Source organism: Homo sapiens, chromosome 1 (assembly GCF_000001405.40).
Source record: "Homo sapiens chromosome 1, GRCh38.p14 Primary Assembly".
Taxonomy (NCBI): domain Eukaryota; kingdom Metazoa; phylum Chordata; class Mammalia; order Primates; family Hominidae; genus Homo; species Homo sapiens.
Genome location: NC_000001.11, coordinates 46,305,154 through 46,323,062, shown reverse-complemented (window position 1 = coordinate 46,323,062; position 17,909 = coordinate 46,305,154). Strand labels below are relative to the sequence as shown.

The window sequence follows — 17,909 nt, the reverse complement described above, 5'->3', positions numbered from 1 at the left end:
TTTTAGTAAAGACGGGGTTTCACCCTGTTAGCCAGGATAGTCTCGATCTCCTGACCTCATGATCCACCCGCCTCGGCCTCCCAAAGTGCCGGGATTACAGGCATGACCCACTGTGCCCGGCCAATCCTGCTCCAGTTTAAGATTTTAAGCCACACAAAAAGCACACCCACAAATATTTATTTATATGTATTTAACTTTTTTACTTTTGACAGTTTTATGTAGACCACTTCTGGGAACTAAAATGCCATAAAAGAGGGCAGGGAGGGGAAAGAGAAATTAATTAATTAATTAAATTTAATGCCATATAAAGCCAATTAAAATTTTAAGCCATTTTTCTGTTAACCATTTTAAAACCTTACGTGGTTTGGATCTGCATCCCTGCCCAAATCTCATATCAAGTTGTTTAAAAGTGTATAGCACCAGCTGGTTGTGGTGGCTTACGCCTGTAATCCCAGCACTTTGGGAGGCCGAGGCAGGTGGGTCATGAGGTCAGGAGTTCGAGACCAGCCTGGCCAATAAGGTGAAACCCCATCTCTACTAAAAATACAAAAAAAAAAAAAAAAATTTAGCCGGGCATGGTGGCATGTGCCTGTAGTCCCAGTTACTCGGAAGGCTGAGGCTTGAACCCAGGAGGTGGAGACTGCAGTGAGCCGTGATCTCACCATTGCACTCCTGCCTGGGCGACAGAGTGAGACTCCATCTGAAAACAAAACAAAACAAAAAGTGTATACCACCTCCCCCTTCTCTCTATCCCTCCTGCTCCAGCCATGTAAGATGAGCCTGCTTCCCCTTCACCTTCCGCCATGATTGTAAGTTTCCTGAGGCCTCCCCACCCATGCTTGCCTGCAGAACTGTGAGCCAATTAAACCTCTTTTCTTTATAAATTACCCAGTCTCAGGCATTTCTTTTTTTTTTTTTTTAGCTGGAGTCTCGTTCTATTGCCCAGGCTGGAGTGCAGTGGCACGATCTCGGCTCACTGCAAGCTCTGCCTCCCGGCTTCACGCCATTCTCCTGCCTCAGCCTCCTGAGTAGCTGGGACTACAGGCGCCTGCCACCACACCCGGCGAATTTTTTGTATTTTTAGTAGAGATGGGTTTTCACCGTGTTAGCCAGGATGGTCTTGATCTCTTGACCTCGCGATCCACCCGCCTTGGCCTCCCAAAGTGCTGGGATTACAGGCATGAGCCACCGCACCCGGCCATCTTAGGCATTTCTTTCTTTTTTCTTTTCTTTTTTTTTTTTCCTGGACAGAGTCTTACTCTTACTTATTGTAGTACAGTGCAAGTCACATCTTACGTGGATGGCAGCATGCAAAAAGGGCTTGTGCAGGGAAACTCCTGTTTTTAAAACCATCAGATCTCGTGAGACCCATTCGCTATCACAAGAACAACACAAGAAGGACCTGCCCCACTGATTCAATCATCTCCCACCAGGTCCCTCCCACAACGCATGGGAATTATGGCAGCTACAAGATGAGATTTGGCGGGGGACACAGAGCCAAACCAATCAGTAAACATTTACTAAAATCTGGGTGATGGGTTTAGGGATGTTCACTGCAAAATTTCACCCTTGGTGTACATTTGAATTTTTTTTTTTTTTTCAAGACAGTGTTTCACTCTGTTGCCCAGGCTGGATTACAAGCGTGAACCACCGCGCCTCTTCGCAAAAAACCTACTTGAGACTGAGTAATTTATAAACACAAGAGGCTTAATTAACTCAGTTCCACATGGCTGGGAAGGCCTCAGGAACTTTCAATCATGTGGGAAGGCAAAGGGGAAACAAGATACATCTTACATAGCTGAAGGGGCGGGTTGCCCCTCCACACCTGTGTGTGTTTCTCGTTAGGTGGAACAAGAGACTTGGAAAAGAAAAAGACACGGAGACAAAGTATAGAGAAAGAAATAAGGGGGCCCAGGGGACCAGCGTTCAGCATATGGAGGATCCTGCCAGCCTCTGAGTTCCCTTAGTATTTATTGATCATTCTTGGGTGTTTCTCTCTCAGAGAGGGGGATGTGGCAGGGTCATAGGATAATAGTGGAGAGAAGGTCAGCAGATAAACAGGTGAACAAAGGTCTCTGCATCATAGACAAGGTAAAGAATTAAGTGCTGTGCTTTAGATATGCATACACATAAACATCTCAATGCCTTAAAGAGCAGTATTGCCCACCGCATGTCCCACCTCCACCCCTGAGGCGGTTTTCCCCTATCTCAGTAGATGGAATATACAATTGGGTTTTACACTGAGACATTCCATTGCCCAGGGACGCGCAGGAGAGAGATGCCTTCCTCTTGTCTCAACTGCAAAGAGGCATTCCCTCCTCTTTTACTAATTCTCCTCAGCACAGACCCTTTACGGGTGTCGGGCTGGGGGATGGTCAGGTCTCTCCCTTCCCACGAGGCCATATTTCAGACTATCACATGGGGAGAAACCTTGGACAATACCTGGCTTTCCTAGGCAGAGGTCCCTGAAGCCTTCCGCAGTGTTTGCCTGGGTACTTGAGATTAGGGAGTGGTGATGACTCTTAAGGAGCATGCTGCCTTCAAGCATCTGTTTAACAAAGCACATCTTGCACAGCCCTTAATCCATTTAACCCTGAGTTGACACAGCACATGTTTCAGAGAGCACAGGGTTGGGGGTAAGGTTACAGATTAACAGCATCTCAAGGCAGAAGAATTTTTCTTAGTACAGAACAAAATGGAGTCTCCTATGTCTACTTCTTTCTACACAGACACAGTAACAATCTGATCCCTCTTTCTTTTCCCCACACATAGCAGCAGCGGGGTCAGAGAGGAGCTGGCAATGAGATGGGGGGGGACTGTCAAAATCTTTTAAACCATCAGATCTCATGAGAACTCATTCACTATCATGTGAATAGCATGGGGGAAACCACCCCCATGATCCAGTCATCTCCCACCAGGTCCCTCCTTTGACACCTGGGGATTACAATTTGAAATGAGATTTGGGGCCAGGCGCGGTGGCTCACCCCTGTAATACCAGCACTTTGGGAGGCCAAGGTGGGTGGATCACGAGGTCAGGAGATTGAGACCACCCTGGCTAACACAGTGAAACCCCGTCTCTACTAAAAAAAAACACAAAAAATTAGCCGGGTGTGGTAGCGGGTGCCTGTAAGTCCCAGCTACTCTGGAGGCTGAGGCAGGAGAATTGCATGAACCCAGGAGGCAGAGCTTGCAGTGAGCCGAGATCGCGACACTGCACTCCAGCCTGGGTGACAGAGCAAGACTCCATCTCAAAAAAAAAAAAAGAGATCGGGATACATCATGTTGGCCTGGCCAGGCTGGTCTCAAACTCCTGACCTTAAGTGACCTATCTGCCTTGGCCTCCCAAAGTGCTGGGATTACAGCAGTGAACCACCACGCCTGGCCCTCATTCCCTTTTTAAAAAATTAGCCAGGCATGGTGACATGTACCTGTAAGTCCTAGCTATGGGAAGCTGAGGTAGGAGGATCTCTTTAGCCCAGTTCGAGGCTGCAGTGAGCTATGATGTTGCCACTGCACTCCCAACTTAGGCAACAGAGCAAGACCCTGTCTTTTTTGTGTGTGTGTGCATACCAATACCTAAACACCACAGCATTTGTTCTGGTTTTTACCTTTTCTTTTTTTTTTCTTTTTGAGATGGAGTCTCACTGTTGTCACCCAGGCTGGAGTGCAGTGGCGTGATCTCGGTTCACTGCAACCTCCACCTCCTGGGTTCAAGCAATTCTCCTGCCTCAGCCTCCTGAGTAGCTGGGATTACAGGCGCGTGACACCACGCCCAGCTAATTTTTGTACTTTTAGTAGAGACAGGGTTTTGCCATGTTGGCCAGGCTGGTCTCGAACTCCTGACCTCAGGTGATCCACCTGCCTCAGCCTCCCAAAGTGCTGGGATTACAGGTGTGAGCCACAAAGCCCGGCCAAAACCCTGTCTTTTGAAAAATAAATTTTTTTTTTAATTTTTATTTTTTTGAGATGGAGTCTCTGTCTCTCACCCAGACTGGAGTGCAATAGTGCAATCTCAGCTCACTGCAACCTCCACGTCCCTAGTTCAAGCCATTCTCGTGCCTCAGCCTCCCGAGTAGCTGGGATACAGGTACCCACCACCACGCCCACCTAATTTTAGAGAGGTTTTGTTCAAGCCATTCTTGTGCCTCAGCCTCCCGAGTAGCTGGGATACAGGTACCCACCACCACACCCACCTAATTTTAGAGAGGTTTTGCCATGTTGGCCAGGCTGGTCTCAAACTCCTTACCTCACGTGATCCACCCACCTCGGCCTCCCAAAGTGCTGGGATTACGGGTTGTGAACCACCTCGCCTGGTTTTTTCTTTTTAAAGTTTTTTTTATGGCGCGATCTCAGCTCACCGCAACCTCCACCTCCCAGGTTCAAGCAATTCTCTTGCCTCAGCCTCCCGAGTAGCTGGGATTACAGGCATGCACCACTATGCCTGGCTAATTTTTTTTTTATTTTTAGTAGAGATGGGGTTTCTCCATGTTGAGGCTGGTCTCAAACTCCTGACCTCAGGTGATCCGCCCACCTCGACCTCCCAAAGTGCTGGGATTACAGGCATGAGCCACTGTGCCTGGCCAAAAAGGTTTTTTTTTTTTTTTTTTTTGAGATGGAGTCTCACTCTGTTGCCCAGGCTGGAGTGCAGTGGCGCAATCTTGGCTCACTGCAAGCTTCGCCTCCCGGGTTCACGCCATTCTCTGCCCACCACCATGCCCAGCTGATTTTTTTGTATTTTTAGTAGATGGGGTTTCACTGTGTTAGCCAGGATGGTCTCGATCTCCTGACCTCATGATTCCCCCGCCTTGGCCTCCCAAATTGAAAAGTTTTTTTTTTTTTTAGAGACGGAGTCTCGCTCTGTCGCCCAGGCTGGAGTGCACTGGCGGGATCTCAGCTCACTGCAACCTCTGCCTCCCAGGTTCAGGCAATTCTCCTGCCTCAGCCTCCAGAGTAGCTGGGACTACAGGCACACACCACAACACCGGCTAATTTTTTTTGTATTTTAGTAGAGACAGGGTTTCACCATGTTGCCCAGGCTGGTCTTGAACCCCTGAGCTCAGGCAATCCGCCCACCTCGTTCTCCCAAAGTGCTAGGATTATAAGTATGAGCCACCACACCTGACCAAAAGTTTCTTACATAATTTTTTTTTTGTAGAGGCAGAGTCTCACTATGTTGCCCATGCTGGTCTCAAACTTCCAGCCTCAAGTAATCCTCCCACCTCAGCCTCCCAAAGTGCTAGGATTACATGTGTGAGCCATCTCACCTGGCTTCTTCTTTTAAAAAATACAGGGTCTCAACTATGTGTCCCAGACTCAGTGATCATAGCTCAATGTAACCAGTGAACTTTGGGCTTAAGTTATTCTCTTATCTTAACCTCCCAAGTAGCTAGGACTACAGGAGAACACCATCACACCCAGCTACTTAATTTTGTAGACAGGATCTCACTATGTTGCCTAGGGTGGTCTTGAACTCCTGGCTTCAAGAGATCCTCTTGCCTCAGCCTCTGAAAGGGTTGGGATTACAGGTATAAGCCACCGTGCCAGGCCCAGCCCTCATGAAGACATACATACTTGCTAGGTGATGGGTACATCTATTCTTATGTGTTTAAAAATTGTGGTCTATGTGTGGTGGCTCATGCCTATAATCCCAGCACTTTGGGAGGCTGAGGCAGGAGGATTGCTTGAGGCCAGAGTTCAAGACCAGCCTGGACACAGAGAGATGCCATCTCTAGAAAATATATATTTTTTATTTTATTTTTTGAGACGGAGTCTCGCTCTGTTGCCCAGCCTGGAGTGCAGTGGCGCGATCTTGGCTCACTGCAACTTCTGCCTCCCGGGTTCAAGCAATTCTCCCGCCTAAGCCTCCTGAGTAGCTAGAACTACAGGTGCCCGCCACCATGCCCAGCTAATATTCTTATTTTTAGTAGAGACGGGGTTTCACCATGTTGGTCAGGCTGGTCTCGAACCCCTGACCTCGTGATCCACCCGCCTCGGCCTCCCAAAGTGCTGGGATTACAGGTGTGAGCCACCGCGCCCGGCCCAAAATATTTTTAAAATTAGCTGGGCATGGTGATGCATGCTGTAGTCCCAGCAACTTGGGGCCACGGTGAGAGGGTCAGTTGAGCCCAGGAAGTGGAGGCTGCAATGAGCTGTTTGCGCCACTGCATTCCAGCCTAGCCAACAAAGTAAGACCCTGTCCTCCTTGCCGCTCCCCACCCCCTCAAAACTAAAAGAAAATATCAAATTAAAAAAAAAAATTCTCAATTAAAAAAAAAAGACGGGCAGGTTTGCAGATCATAGAACTTTTATTTAGATGGAATCATTGCGAATTACATAGAAGCTACCAGCCTAAGCCAAACCCATGAGGTTCATGTGAACTTACAGTTACACAAATAAGAAACAAATGGTACATCCAAAACCATAAGGAAATATTCTGATGCCCAGATGATGAAGACTGGGGTGAATTAAGTCCACACATTTATTTCAAGTTGTTAAAGAGTTTGTGGGCCACCTAGATGGGGGAAAGAAAAGGAGGTAATCAATTGGCAGCTTTAATGTCATGGCTTACAAGGTCCTTCAAGACCTGAAACAGTACTGCCCCTCTTCTCACCACTCCCCTTCTCACATAGGCAAGCAGCACTTGAGTCCTAGTGAACTCCCCACTTTTTTCATCTTTTATTCTTCCTTTAGAATTTAGATCTGATAACTGTCATTTCCTGCAAGCCTTCTCTAAACAAGCCCCTATCCACACACAAATCTGTCCCTCCTATCTTTCCACAAAAACTTGTACCTCCCCATCAGTGACATTAACATTACATATTAATTCAACAGGACATCTCCTATATGCCAGGTAGTGTTCTAAGTGCTGAGTGAGTTATAACTGTAACAAAACATGCCTGCCACTTAAGAAACTTACAGGGTAATGAGTTAAAATGAACACATAAATAAGGTAACCTGTGATAATGGGAAATGCTAGGAGGAAAATAAATGGGAGGCGGGGCGGGGGGTTCAGTTAATATTACCCTGAGAAAGGTATACCTGAGAGACTTACCAAAGTTTAGCACTTGTTCTACTTCTGTTTCCTATGCTGGCTCATAAACTCAGTGAAGGAATGAACCATGTCTATCTTACTCCCAGATCCTAAACCAGTGCTTGGCTGACAAATATATGTAAATATTTTTAGAATGACCACACAGTGGGAGGGGGAAAATCAACAGTAGGGATGTTAATTCAGGGAACAGATCATGACTTGCCTATTTTGAACATTTCATACAAATCATATCATACGATATTTTTTACTTTGTGACTGGCTTTTTCCCCTTAGCATTTAGCATGTTTGCAAGGTTTATCCAGGTTGTAGCATGTTCAGTACTTATTTTGTTAAAAATTATGATAAAATACATCTAACATAAAATTTTCCACTTCAGTAATTTTTTTTTTCTATTTTAATCTTTTTTTTTTTTTTTTTTTTGAGGCAGTCTTGCTCTGTCCCCCAGGCTGGAGTGCAGTGGTACAATCTTGGCTCACTGCAACCTCCGCCTCCCGGGTTCAAGTGATTCTCCTGCCTCAGACTCCTGAGTAGCTGGGATTACAAGTGTGCGCCACCACACTCAGCTAATTTTTTTTTTTGAGACAGAGTTTCACTCTTGTTGCCCAGGCTGGAGTGCAATGGCTCACCGCAACCTCTGCCTCCCAGGTTCAAGCGATTCTCCTGCCTCAGCCTCCCTAGTAGCTGGGATTATAGGCATGTGCCACCACGCCCGGCTAATTTTGTATTTTTAGTAGAGACGGTGTTTCTCCATGTTGGTCAGGCTGGTCTCGAACTCCCGACCTCAGGTGATCCACGTGCCTCAGCCTCTGAAAGTGCTGGGATTACAGGCGTGAGCCACCGCACCTGGCCTACACTCAGCTAATTTTTTATTTTAGTAGAGACAAGGTTTCACCATGTTGTCCGAGGTGGTCTCAAACTCCTGACCTCAAGTGACATGCCTGCCTTGGCCTCCCAAAGTGTAGGAGGTGTGAACCACCGCACAAGGCCCCACTTTAATCATTTTTAACTGTACATTTCTGTGGCAGTTAAGTGCATTCCCATTGTTCTACAACCATACAGTCCCCTACAATCTCTAGAACGTCCAATCTTGGGACCTTTTTCATCTTACTAAATCAAAACTATATCCATTAAACAGTAACTCTCCATTTCCTTTCTCCCCTCAGCTCCTGGTTACTACCATTCTACTTTCTGTCTCTATGAATGTGACTGCTATTCTAGGTACCTCACCAAAGTGGAACAATACAATGTTTGTCTTCCTTGACACTTAGTTTAATGTCTCCAAGGTTCATCAATGTTGCAGCACGTGTCAGAGTTTCCCTCCTTTTTTTTTTTTTTTTTGAGACGGAGTTTTGCTCTTGTTGCCCAGGGTGGAGTGCAATGGCGCAACTTTGGCTCACCGCAGCCTCCACCTCCGGGGTTCAAGCAATTCTCCTGTCTCAGCCTCCCGAGTAGCTGGGATTACAGGCGCATATACCACCATGCGCAGCCAATTTTTGTGTTTTTAGTAGAGACGGGGTTTCATCATATTGGTCAAGCTGGTCTCGAACTCCGGACAGCAGGTGATCCACTTGCCTCGGCCTCCCAAAAAGCTGGGATTACAGGCATGAGCTGCTATGCCCAGCCCCTTCTCTTTTTTTTTTTTTTTTTGAGACGGAGTCTTGCTCTGTACCCAGGCTGAAGTGCAGTGGCGTGATCTCAGCTCACTGCAAGCTCCGCCTCCCGGGTTCATGCCAATCTCCTGCCTCAGCCTCCCAAGTAGCTGGTTCTACAAGCACCCGCCACCATGCCCGGCTAATCTTTTGTATTTTGAGACAGGGTTTTACCGTGTTAGCCAGGATAGTCTCAATCTCCTGACCTTGTGATCCGCCTGCCTTGGCCTCCCAAAGTGTTGGGATTACAGGCATGAGCCACCGTGCCCCGGCCCCCTTCTCTTTTAAGGCTGAATAATATCCCATTGTATATACAAAGCACATTTTAAAAAAATCTTTGCATCTATGGATGGAAAATTGGGTTGTTTCTACCTTTTGGCTATTGTGAATATGAATGTGGAAATATCTGTTTAAGCCTACTCTCAATACTTCTGGGTATATACCTAGAAGTGAAATTGCTAGATCATATAGTACATAATTCTATGTTTAATTTTTGAGAAAAGAACTTGTTTTTTTTTTTTTGAGACAGGGTCTCAGTCTGTCACCCAGGCTGGAGTGCAGTGGCGTGATCATGGCTCACTGAAGCCTTGACTTCCCCAGGCTCAGGTGATCCTCCCACCTCAGCCTCCCAAGTAGCTAGGACTACAGGTGTGAGCCAGCTTGCCTGGTTATCTATATCTATCTATCTATCTATCTATCTATCTATCTATCTATCTATCTGTCTATATTTTTTTGAGATGAAGTCTCGCTCTGTCGCCCAGGCTGGAGTGCAGTGGCACAATCTCAGCTCACTGCAAGCTCCGCCTCCCGGGTTCACGCCATTCTCCAGCCTCAGCCTCCCAAGTAGCTGGGACTACAGGCGCCCGCCACCACGCCCGGCTAATTTTTTTGTATTTTTAGTAGAGATGGGGTTTCACCATATTGGCCAGGCTGGTCTCGATCTCCTGACCTCATGATCCACCCGCCTCCGCCTCCCAAAGGGCTGGGATTACAGGCGTGAGCCACCGCGCCCGGCTTTTATATATATATTTTTTGTAAAGACAGGGTTTTACCATGTTGCCCAGGCTGGTCTCAAATTCCTGGGCTCAGGTGATCTGCCTGCCTTGACCTCGCAAAGTTCTGCGATTACAAGCATGAGCCACAGTGCCCAGCCTAGCTGATGGACACTTATGTTGTTTCCACTTTTTGGGTAGTATAAATAATGCTTCTATGAACATTTGTGTACAAGTTTTTATGTGAACATATGTTTTCATTTCTCTTGGGTATATATCTTCGAGTGTAATTGCTGTGTCATATATTAACTGTATATTTAGCCTTTTGAGGAACTGCCAGATGTTTTCCACAGTGGCTGTACCAATTTACACTTTTACTGACAGCGTATGAGGTTTCCAACTTTTCCACATTGTCGTCAACACTCGTTATCTTCTTTATTATAGCCATCCTAGTGGGCAGTTGGTATAAAGTGTTATCTCATGGTAGTATCCCTGGTGGCTAATGATGTTGAACATCTTTTCATACGTTTACTGGCCATCCAATTAGTTTTAATAGAAGCAACCACATCAAACTTTGCTTATGTATAATTTATGTAAAATACCTTACTGTGTTATATGTAAGAGTCAAGCAGAAGTTTATTTTTATTTTTTTAATTTTGATTTTTTAAAAGTAGAGACAGGGTTCCCCTATCTTGCCCAGGCTGGTCTTAAACTCCTGGGGTCAAGGGGTCCTCCTGCCTTGGTCTTCCAAAAGTGCTAGGATCATAAGCGTCAGCCACTATGCCCTGCCTGAGTTTACTTTTAAAAAACAACCCCTTGAGGCCAGGCATGGTATCTCACACCTGTAATCCCAACACTCTGGGAAGCTGAGATGAGTGGCATGTGTGAACCCAGGAGTTCTAGACCAGCCTGGGCAACACGGCAAAATCCCATCTCTACAAAAAATACAAAAATTACCCAGGTATGGGCCAGGTGCGGTGGCTCACGCCTGTAATCTCAGCACTTTGGAAGGCTGAGGCAGGTGGATCACTGGAGGTCAGGAGTTCAAGACCAGCCTGGCCAACATGGTGAAACCCCGTCTCTACTAAAAATACAAACAAACAAAAAATTAGCTGGGTGTGGTGGCGTGCACCTTTAATCCCAGTTACTTGGGAGGCTGAAGCAGGAAAATCGCTTGAACCCAGGAGGTGGAGGTTGCAGTGAGCCAAGATTGCGCCACTGCACTCCAGCCTGGGTGACAGAGTGCAACTCAGTCTCAAATTAAAAAAAAAAAAAATTACCAAGGCATGGTGGCATGTGCCTATAGTCCTGGCTACTCAGAGGCTAAGGCAGAAGGATTGTTTGAACCAGGAGGTAGAGGCTGTAGTGTGCCATAATTGTGCCACTGCACTCCAGCCTGGGTGACAGAGCAAGCAAGACCTTATCTCAAAAAAAAAAAAAAAGGCTGGGTGCAGTGGTTCACACCTGTAATCCCAGAACTTTGGAAGGCTGAGGCAGGTGGATCACAGGGGTCAGGAGACTGAGACCATCTTGGCTAACACAGTGAAACCCCGTCTCTACTAAAAATACAAAAAAACAAAAACAAACAAACAAAAAAAAACAAAAAAACCATTAGCCGGGAATGGTGGCGGGCGCCTGCGGTCCCAGCTACTCGGGAGGCAGAGGCAAGAGAATGGCGTGAAGCCGGGAGGTGGAGCTTGCAGTGAGCCGAGATCGCGCCACTGCACTCCAGCCTGGGCGACAGACCAAGACTCCGTCTCAAAAAAAAAAGCAACCTTTTGGACCAACTACTATATATTAGACACATTTGAGGATACAAATTATTTTTTTTTTGGCGCAACCTTGGCTCACTGCAAGCTCCGCCTCCTGGGTTGACGCCATTCTCCTGCCTCAGGCTCCCGAGTAGCTGGGGGCTACAGGCGCCCGCCACCACGCCCGGCTAATTTTTTGTACTTTAGTAGGGACGGGTTTCGCTGTGTTAGCCAAGATGGTCTCAATCTCCTGACCTCGTGATCCGCCCGCCTCCGCCTCCGCCTCCGCCTCCGCCTCCCAAAGTGCTGGGATTACAGGCGTGAGCCACCGCGCCCGGCCAATACAAATTATTTTTAAAGAACAGTCTGTTATTGAAAAGTACAAAATCCAGCTTCCCCACTGTTTAGTGGTGCATGTTGGGATGTTTATGTTTTTTTCTCTGAGCCTCAGTTTCTATCTGTGAAATGGGATAATGATACCTATCTCCAGTGGAAGTAGTAAGGATTAGGCAAGATTATTATTATTATTATTTTTTTTTTTTTTTGAGATGGAGTCTCGCTCTGTCGCCCAGGCCAGACTGCGGACTGCAGTGGCGCAATCTCGGCTCACTGCAAGCTCCGCTTCCCCGGGTTCACGCCATTCTCCTGCCTCAGCCTCCCGAGTAGCTGGGACTACAGGCGCCCGCCACCGCGCCCAGCTAATTTTTTGTATTTTTAGTAGAGACGGGGTTTCACCTTGTTAGCCAGGATGGTCTCGATCTCCTGACCTCATGATCCACCCGCCTCGGCCTCCCAAAGTGCTGGGATTACAGGCATGAGCCACCGCGCCCTAGGCAAGATTATTTATAGGCCAGGCACAATGGCTCATGCCTATAATCCCAGCACTTCAGAGGGCCGAGATGGAAGGAAGGATTGCTTGAGCCCAGGAGTTTGAGACCAGCCTGGGCAACATAACAAGGCCCCGTCACTAGAAAAAATTAAAAAATAAAAAATTAGCCTCTCATGGTGGCATGCACTTGTAGTCCCAGCTACTTGGGAGGCCAAGGCAGGATCACTTAGGCCCAGGAGTTCAAGGTTGGCACTGAGCTACGATCATGCCGCTGTACTTCAGCCTGGACAACATAGTGAGACCCTCTCAATAAAATAGAATAGGTTATTTACATAAAATGCTCAGCGCACCATATGTCACATATATTGGGCCCAGAGTAACTGATGGGCCTTTCCCTAGCATGGAAAGATTGTTGGCACCAAGTCTTCCCTGACCATTGCAACCTTTCCCCTTCCTGACTTCCCACTGACTTACGCAATGGTCCCTCGCATGCAAGAAGTCAAAGAGCTCCTCCGTGCAATCCTCTTCTGTATGTGATCGAGAGGATACACGCTCATCACAGAGCTCTAGCCGCTCCCGGGCCTTTACACATTTCTCCAACTGCTCGCATTGCTCTCTCACTGTTGTTAGGGGATCCTGATGTAGAAACAGAAAAAAAACAAAATGGGCATTTTTAGCAGAGACCCACCAAACACATATGCTTTGATTAACACAACCACCAAACCAAGGTGCTGCCTCTGAATTACCGTGCAGAAGGCCAGCTGGCAGAGCCACACTGCCGCCAGAAATGGCAGAATGCGGTCTCCCATTCAATTCTGATGCTAAGTAGTAGGGAAAAGTTTCACATTCCTGCCTTCCAAGGTTGCCAGTATGCACTGAAAGCCTCAGTCCTATCTGAAAAACAAGGTGGTAAAGGAAACCTGGCCAAACTTGAAGTAGATCTATAGGAGGCCTTACTTGTTAACACAGCATTTTGGAATATGACACGTCTGAAACTTCAAATCCCCTTGTCTGAGAACCAGGCCTATGCACCCCAGCTGCCCAACTAGAAAGGCAATGCTAACATAGAGAAGGACTATCTAACAAAGGTTCCTTCAGAGTTCTTTTTTTTTTTTTTTTTAAGACGGAGTTTTGCTCTTGTTGCCCAGGCTGGAGCGCAATGGCGCAATCTCAGCTCACCACAACCTCCGCCTCTCGGGTTCGAGCAATTCTCCTGCCTCAGCCTCTCGAGTAGCTGGGATTACAGGCATGTGCCACCACGCCCGGCTAATTTTGTATTTTTAGTAGAGATGGGGTTTCTCTACGTTGTTCAGGCTGGTAATCCGCCTGCCTTGGCCTCCCAAAGTGCTGAGATTACAGGCACGAGCCACCATGCCTAGCCCAAAGTTCTTTATTAAACCACAAATAGCAGATGATTGAGTGCCAGGCCCTCAAGATGCCATCTGCTCCCTGGTACCACAACTGAAGAAGCCCCAAACCCAGAACAGACTCAGCTTCCAAGGCTCACACCCTAAACTCTCCACTGCACAGGAAGTATCAAAGCTTATTCCACCCCCATTATCTACAAGGTATCAAGTAAAAACTCCTTAAAATGCCCTTAGAATTTCATGAAGCTCAAACCCTGCTTTTACTGAGATGTTTCCAAACCTGAGACAGTTCTTACCACTAATTCCTCCTCTTCCTCTTCCTCCTACAAAAGGAAAACAAAATTAATGTCAGCAGCAATTTTATGACATATTTATTCCTGATCATACTGATGTAATTACTGACGATAGACACTGACACTATTAACGATGTTATTTTGTTTTCTGTGTTTTATGATGTTTTTACATTTTAGAGGCCTTGCTAATCCTGGAGCTAATCCTGCTCTTCCAGGGCTAATTTTTAGACAGCAAACTTGCCTGCGAGCATACCTTTCATATGCAACGTAACTATCCAAAGTGCTTGTAGCAAACTGCCTCCTTTATCTTTTGTTTAAGAGACAGAGTCTTGCTCTGTCATAGCTCACTGCAGCCACAAACTCCTGGGCTCAAGTGATCCTCCTGCCTCAGCCTTCTGAGTAGCTAGGACTATAAGCACACGCCACATGCCTGGCTAATTTAAAAATTTTCTTTGTGGTAGAGACAAGGTCTCATTATGTTGCCCAGGCTGCTCTCAAACTCCTGGGCTCAATCAATCCTCCTACCTTGGCCTCCCAAAGTGGTGGGATTATAGGCATTAGCCACTCAGCCTGGCCCTGCCTCCTTTATCTAAGTTTTGTACACTAAGCTCCTGTTTCCCCTTCTCTAAATCACCCCAGGGACAAATATAGGACAACTAGGAACCAGCCCTATAAGCTAGAGCCCAACGAAATTATTCAAACTATCCAATCCTAAATTTGAGCAAGTGTACCTACGCTGCCCACCAATTCCTTCCCATAGAAACCAAGGTGCTGAGCCATGCTTCCTTCCCCTCATACCTTCTGCCTCCTGACGAGCTCAGACACTTCCCCATATAGCTCTGCATTTTTTTGTGTGGCATATCCCTCTCTTTCAGGAAATTTAAGTAATAATAAACTCTTCTTTCAAAGGCGGTTGTCTCCAGGTCTGTCACCTTACCATACTTGGTTAAAACGAATCCCAGGTATATTTCAAGACAGAGACACCATCTCACTTTCATTAACAAGAACCTAAGTGTGCTTAATACTCTCCAGTTTATAAAGCACCTTCATATCTCTTATGATTTAATTAATCACAACAGTCCCTTAAGGAGGTAATCCCAGTTTAGAGATAATAAACAGTAATTAGACATTTTCTGATACAGATTCAAGCTGCCAGATGTTCACATGGGGCCTACATAATCTAAAGTATTTGTCCCAGTATTGCTACAAATAGCAAAATTTAGTCCTTACATCCCAAACCAAGTTAGGAGGAAAACCCATTTTTTTCTAGACTGTGAACTTGAATTAGGAATATGAAAACTGCTAAACCTAAAAACCCTTGTTTGGTCAGAGCTTAACTAAGGATGGTTAGTCACTGCTTTTTGGCTTGCTGAACTCCCAGAACCCCTAGTAGACTAAGTATATCAAATAAAAGTGCACAACTCCACTCATGAGCTTGGAAATACAGAACAGACCCCACCTATTCACTTCTGATTCAAATGCACAACCTCAAACTTAGTTTCCTTCTTCTTCAAGGATAGTAGTGTAAAAAACTGCCCATGGGAGCAACAGTTTAGGCCTAAATTTGGGATATAGTAAAATCTGACCTCAGAAATAAGGTGTTTGCCTGCCTGTGCATGCAGATACCCACATTTGGGGGCAAGGAAAGAAAAGGTATCTAGGGAAATAAAAAGAACTAGCTCAGGAATCATGTTTTCAGAACTCCAATACAGGGCCAGGTGAGAGGACTGCTTGAGACCAGCCTGGGCAACATGACAAGACCCCATCTCTAAAAAAATTAAAAACAGGCTGGGCATAGTGGTTCACACCTGTAATCCCAGCACTTTGGGAGGCTGAGGTGGCCAGATCACCTGAGGTCAGGAGTTCTCAATCAGCCCGGCCACCATGGTGAAACCCCGTCTCTACTAAAAATACAAAAATTACCTGGGCATGGTGGCACGCGCCTGAAATCCCAGCTACTCAGGAGGCTGAGGCAGGAGAATCACCTGAAACCAGGAGGCAGAGGTTGCAGGAGCCAAGATCCTACCCCTGCACTCCAGCCTGGGCGACAGAGAGACTCCGTCTCAAAAATAAATAAATTAGCCGGGCATGGTGGCGCACGTCTGTGGTCATGGCTACTCAGAAGGCCGAGGTGGGAGGATCCCTTGAGCCCAGGGGTTTGAGGCTGCAGTGAGCTATGACTGTACCACTGCACCCCAGTCTGGGTGACAAGAGTGAGACCCCGTCTCCAAAAAAAGTCCTAATACATGTTTCATCCTCTACCATGCCATTCAGTGAAGCCACCAAAGCTCATACAAGCTGGGAGTGAGGGGTAGGAAAGGTTCAATTTGGAATCCAGGCTATTTATTCTCACAATTGGCAAAGGTTTCTTCTAAATATGAAGATGCTATTTAGGATGTAAATTCTAGTTTTTCATTAACAAGGTTTCTTAATGCTGCTCTTTTAAAAAACATACTGAAAGCCGGGTGCAGTGGCTCATGTCTGTAATCCCAGCACTTTGGGAGGCCAAGGCAGGAGGATCACGAGGTCAAGAGATTGAGACCATCCTGGCCAACATGGTGAAACCCCATCTCTACTAAAATTACAAAAATTAGCTGGGCGTGATGGCACACGCCTGTAGTCCCAGCTACTCGGGAGACTGAGGCAGGAGCATTGCCTGAACCCAGGAGGCAGAGGTTGCAGTGAGATCGCGCCACTGTACTCCAGCCAGGCAAGAGCGAGACTCCGTCACAAAAAAAAAAAAAAAAAAACTGAAAAAGTTTTCCCAAAAAAACTAAAATTACATTCTGCCCGAGTTAGAAAACAGAAATTAGGACCGTAGATACAAGACCCTTATATCATTTCCCTATTAGCAATGCTACAACACTGGTAATTCTGTGTCACTGATAATTTTGTGTCAAAAATAACATGGCAGGTTTTGAAAAAATAAATCCAAATATGTTTGAATATGGATTGCTACATGTAAAATTTCCAGTCACTGAGAAAAACCAAGATCACACCAGATAAAAAGATTTAATCCTCAATAATTTTGCGTTCCTCAGCCGGGCGCGGTGGCTCAGGCCTGTAATCCCAGCACTTTGGGAGGCCGAGGAGGGCGGATCAGGAGGTCAGATCCAGACCATCCTGGCTAACACGGTGAAACCCTGTCTCTACTAAAAATACAAAAATTAGGTGGCGTGCGCCTGTAATTTCAGCTACTCAGGAGGCTGAGGCAAAAGAGAATCGCTTGAACCCGGGAGCGGAGGTTGCAGTGAGCCGGATCACGCCACTGCACTCCAGCCTGGGAGACAGAGCAAGATTCCGTCTCAAAAAAAAAAAATTATGGGTTCCTCATAGAATACCATAGTTTATTTTATTTTATTTATTTATTTATTTATTTTGAGACGGAGTCTCGCTCTGTCGCCCAGGCTGGAGTGCAGTGGCGCGACCTTGGCTCACTGCAAGCTTCGCCTCTCGGGTTGACGCCATTCTGCCTCAGCCTCTCGAGTAGCTGGGACTACAGGCGCCCGCCGCCACGCCCGGCTAATTTTTTGTATTTTCAGTAGAGAAGGGGTTTCACCATGTTAGCCAGGATGGTTTGGATCTCCTGACCTCCTGATCCACCCGCCTCGGCCTCCCGATCCACCCGCCTCGGCCTCCCGATCCACCCGCCTCGGCCTCCCAAAGTGCTGGGATTACAGGCATGAGCCACCGCGCCCGGCCAGAATACCCTAGTTTAAAACTGACTGCTTAATTACTTGCTTTTTCTCATCTATTGCAGCGGTGGATCTTGCTGACCTTTCTGAGGCAGGCTCCATTTCTTTCTTTAGTTTTTTTTTTTTTTTTTTTTTTTGAGACAGGGTCTCACTCGGGTTGCCTCGGCTGGAGTGCAGTGACACGATCACGGCTCACTGCAGCCTGGACTTCCTGGGCTCAAACTCCCGAGCAGTTGAGACCACAGGCGTTCACCACCATGCCCGGCTAATTTTTATATTTTT

At 46.6% G+C, this 17,909-nt stretch overlaps 1 protein-coding gene across 3 annotated transcripts in view, besides 1 other annotated feature; it reads right to left on the bottom strand.

Moving 5' to 3' along the window:
• Window positions 1,708–1,767: an enhancer, noted in NCBI's record as "active region_998". NCBI's record gives its function as "activates an Ori minimal core promoter by ATAC-STARR-seq in GM12878 lymphoblastoid cells {active_cell/tissue: GM12878}" and the evidence as "EXISTENCE:reporter gene assay evidence [ECO:0000049][PMID:35858748]".
• The window catches only part of UQCRH (ubiquinol-cytochrome c reductase hinge protein), a 13,079-nt gene continuing 1,456 nt past the window's right edge, over window positions 6,287–17,909 (bottom strand). The window contains exons 2-5 of one of the 3 annotated variants that reach the window (NM_001297565.2): window positions 13,936–13,962; window positions 13,019–13,166; window positions 12,747–12,908; window positions 6,287–6,511 (exon numbers count right to left, since the gene is read on the bottom strand). In NM_001297565.2, the coding sequence (NP_001284494.1) occupies window positions 6,479–6,511; window positions 12,747–12,908; window positions 13,019–13,081 (258 nt within the window). In that variant the 5' untranslated portion in view covers window positions 13,082–13,166; window positions 13,936–13,962 and the 3' untranslated portion in view covers window positions 6,287–6,478. The remainder of the gene's footprint in view (window positions 6,512–12,746; window positions 12,909–13,018; window positions 13,167–13,935; window positions 13,963–17,909) is intronic. The other 2 variants (NM_006004.4, NM_001297566.2) reach the window with 2 other exon arrangements.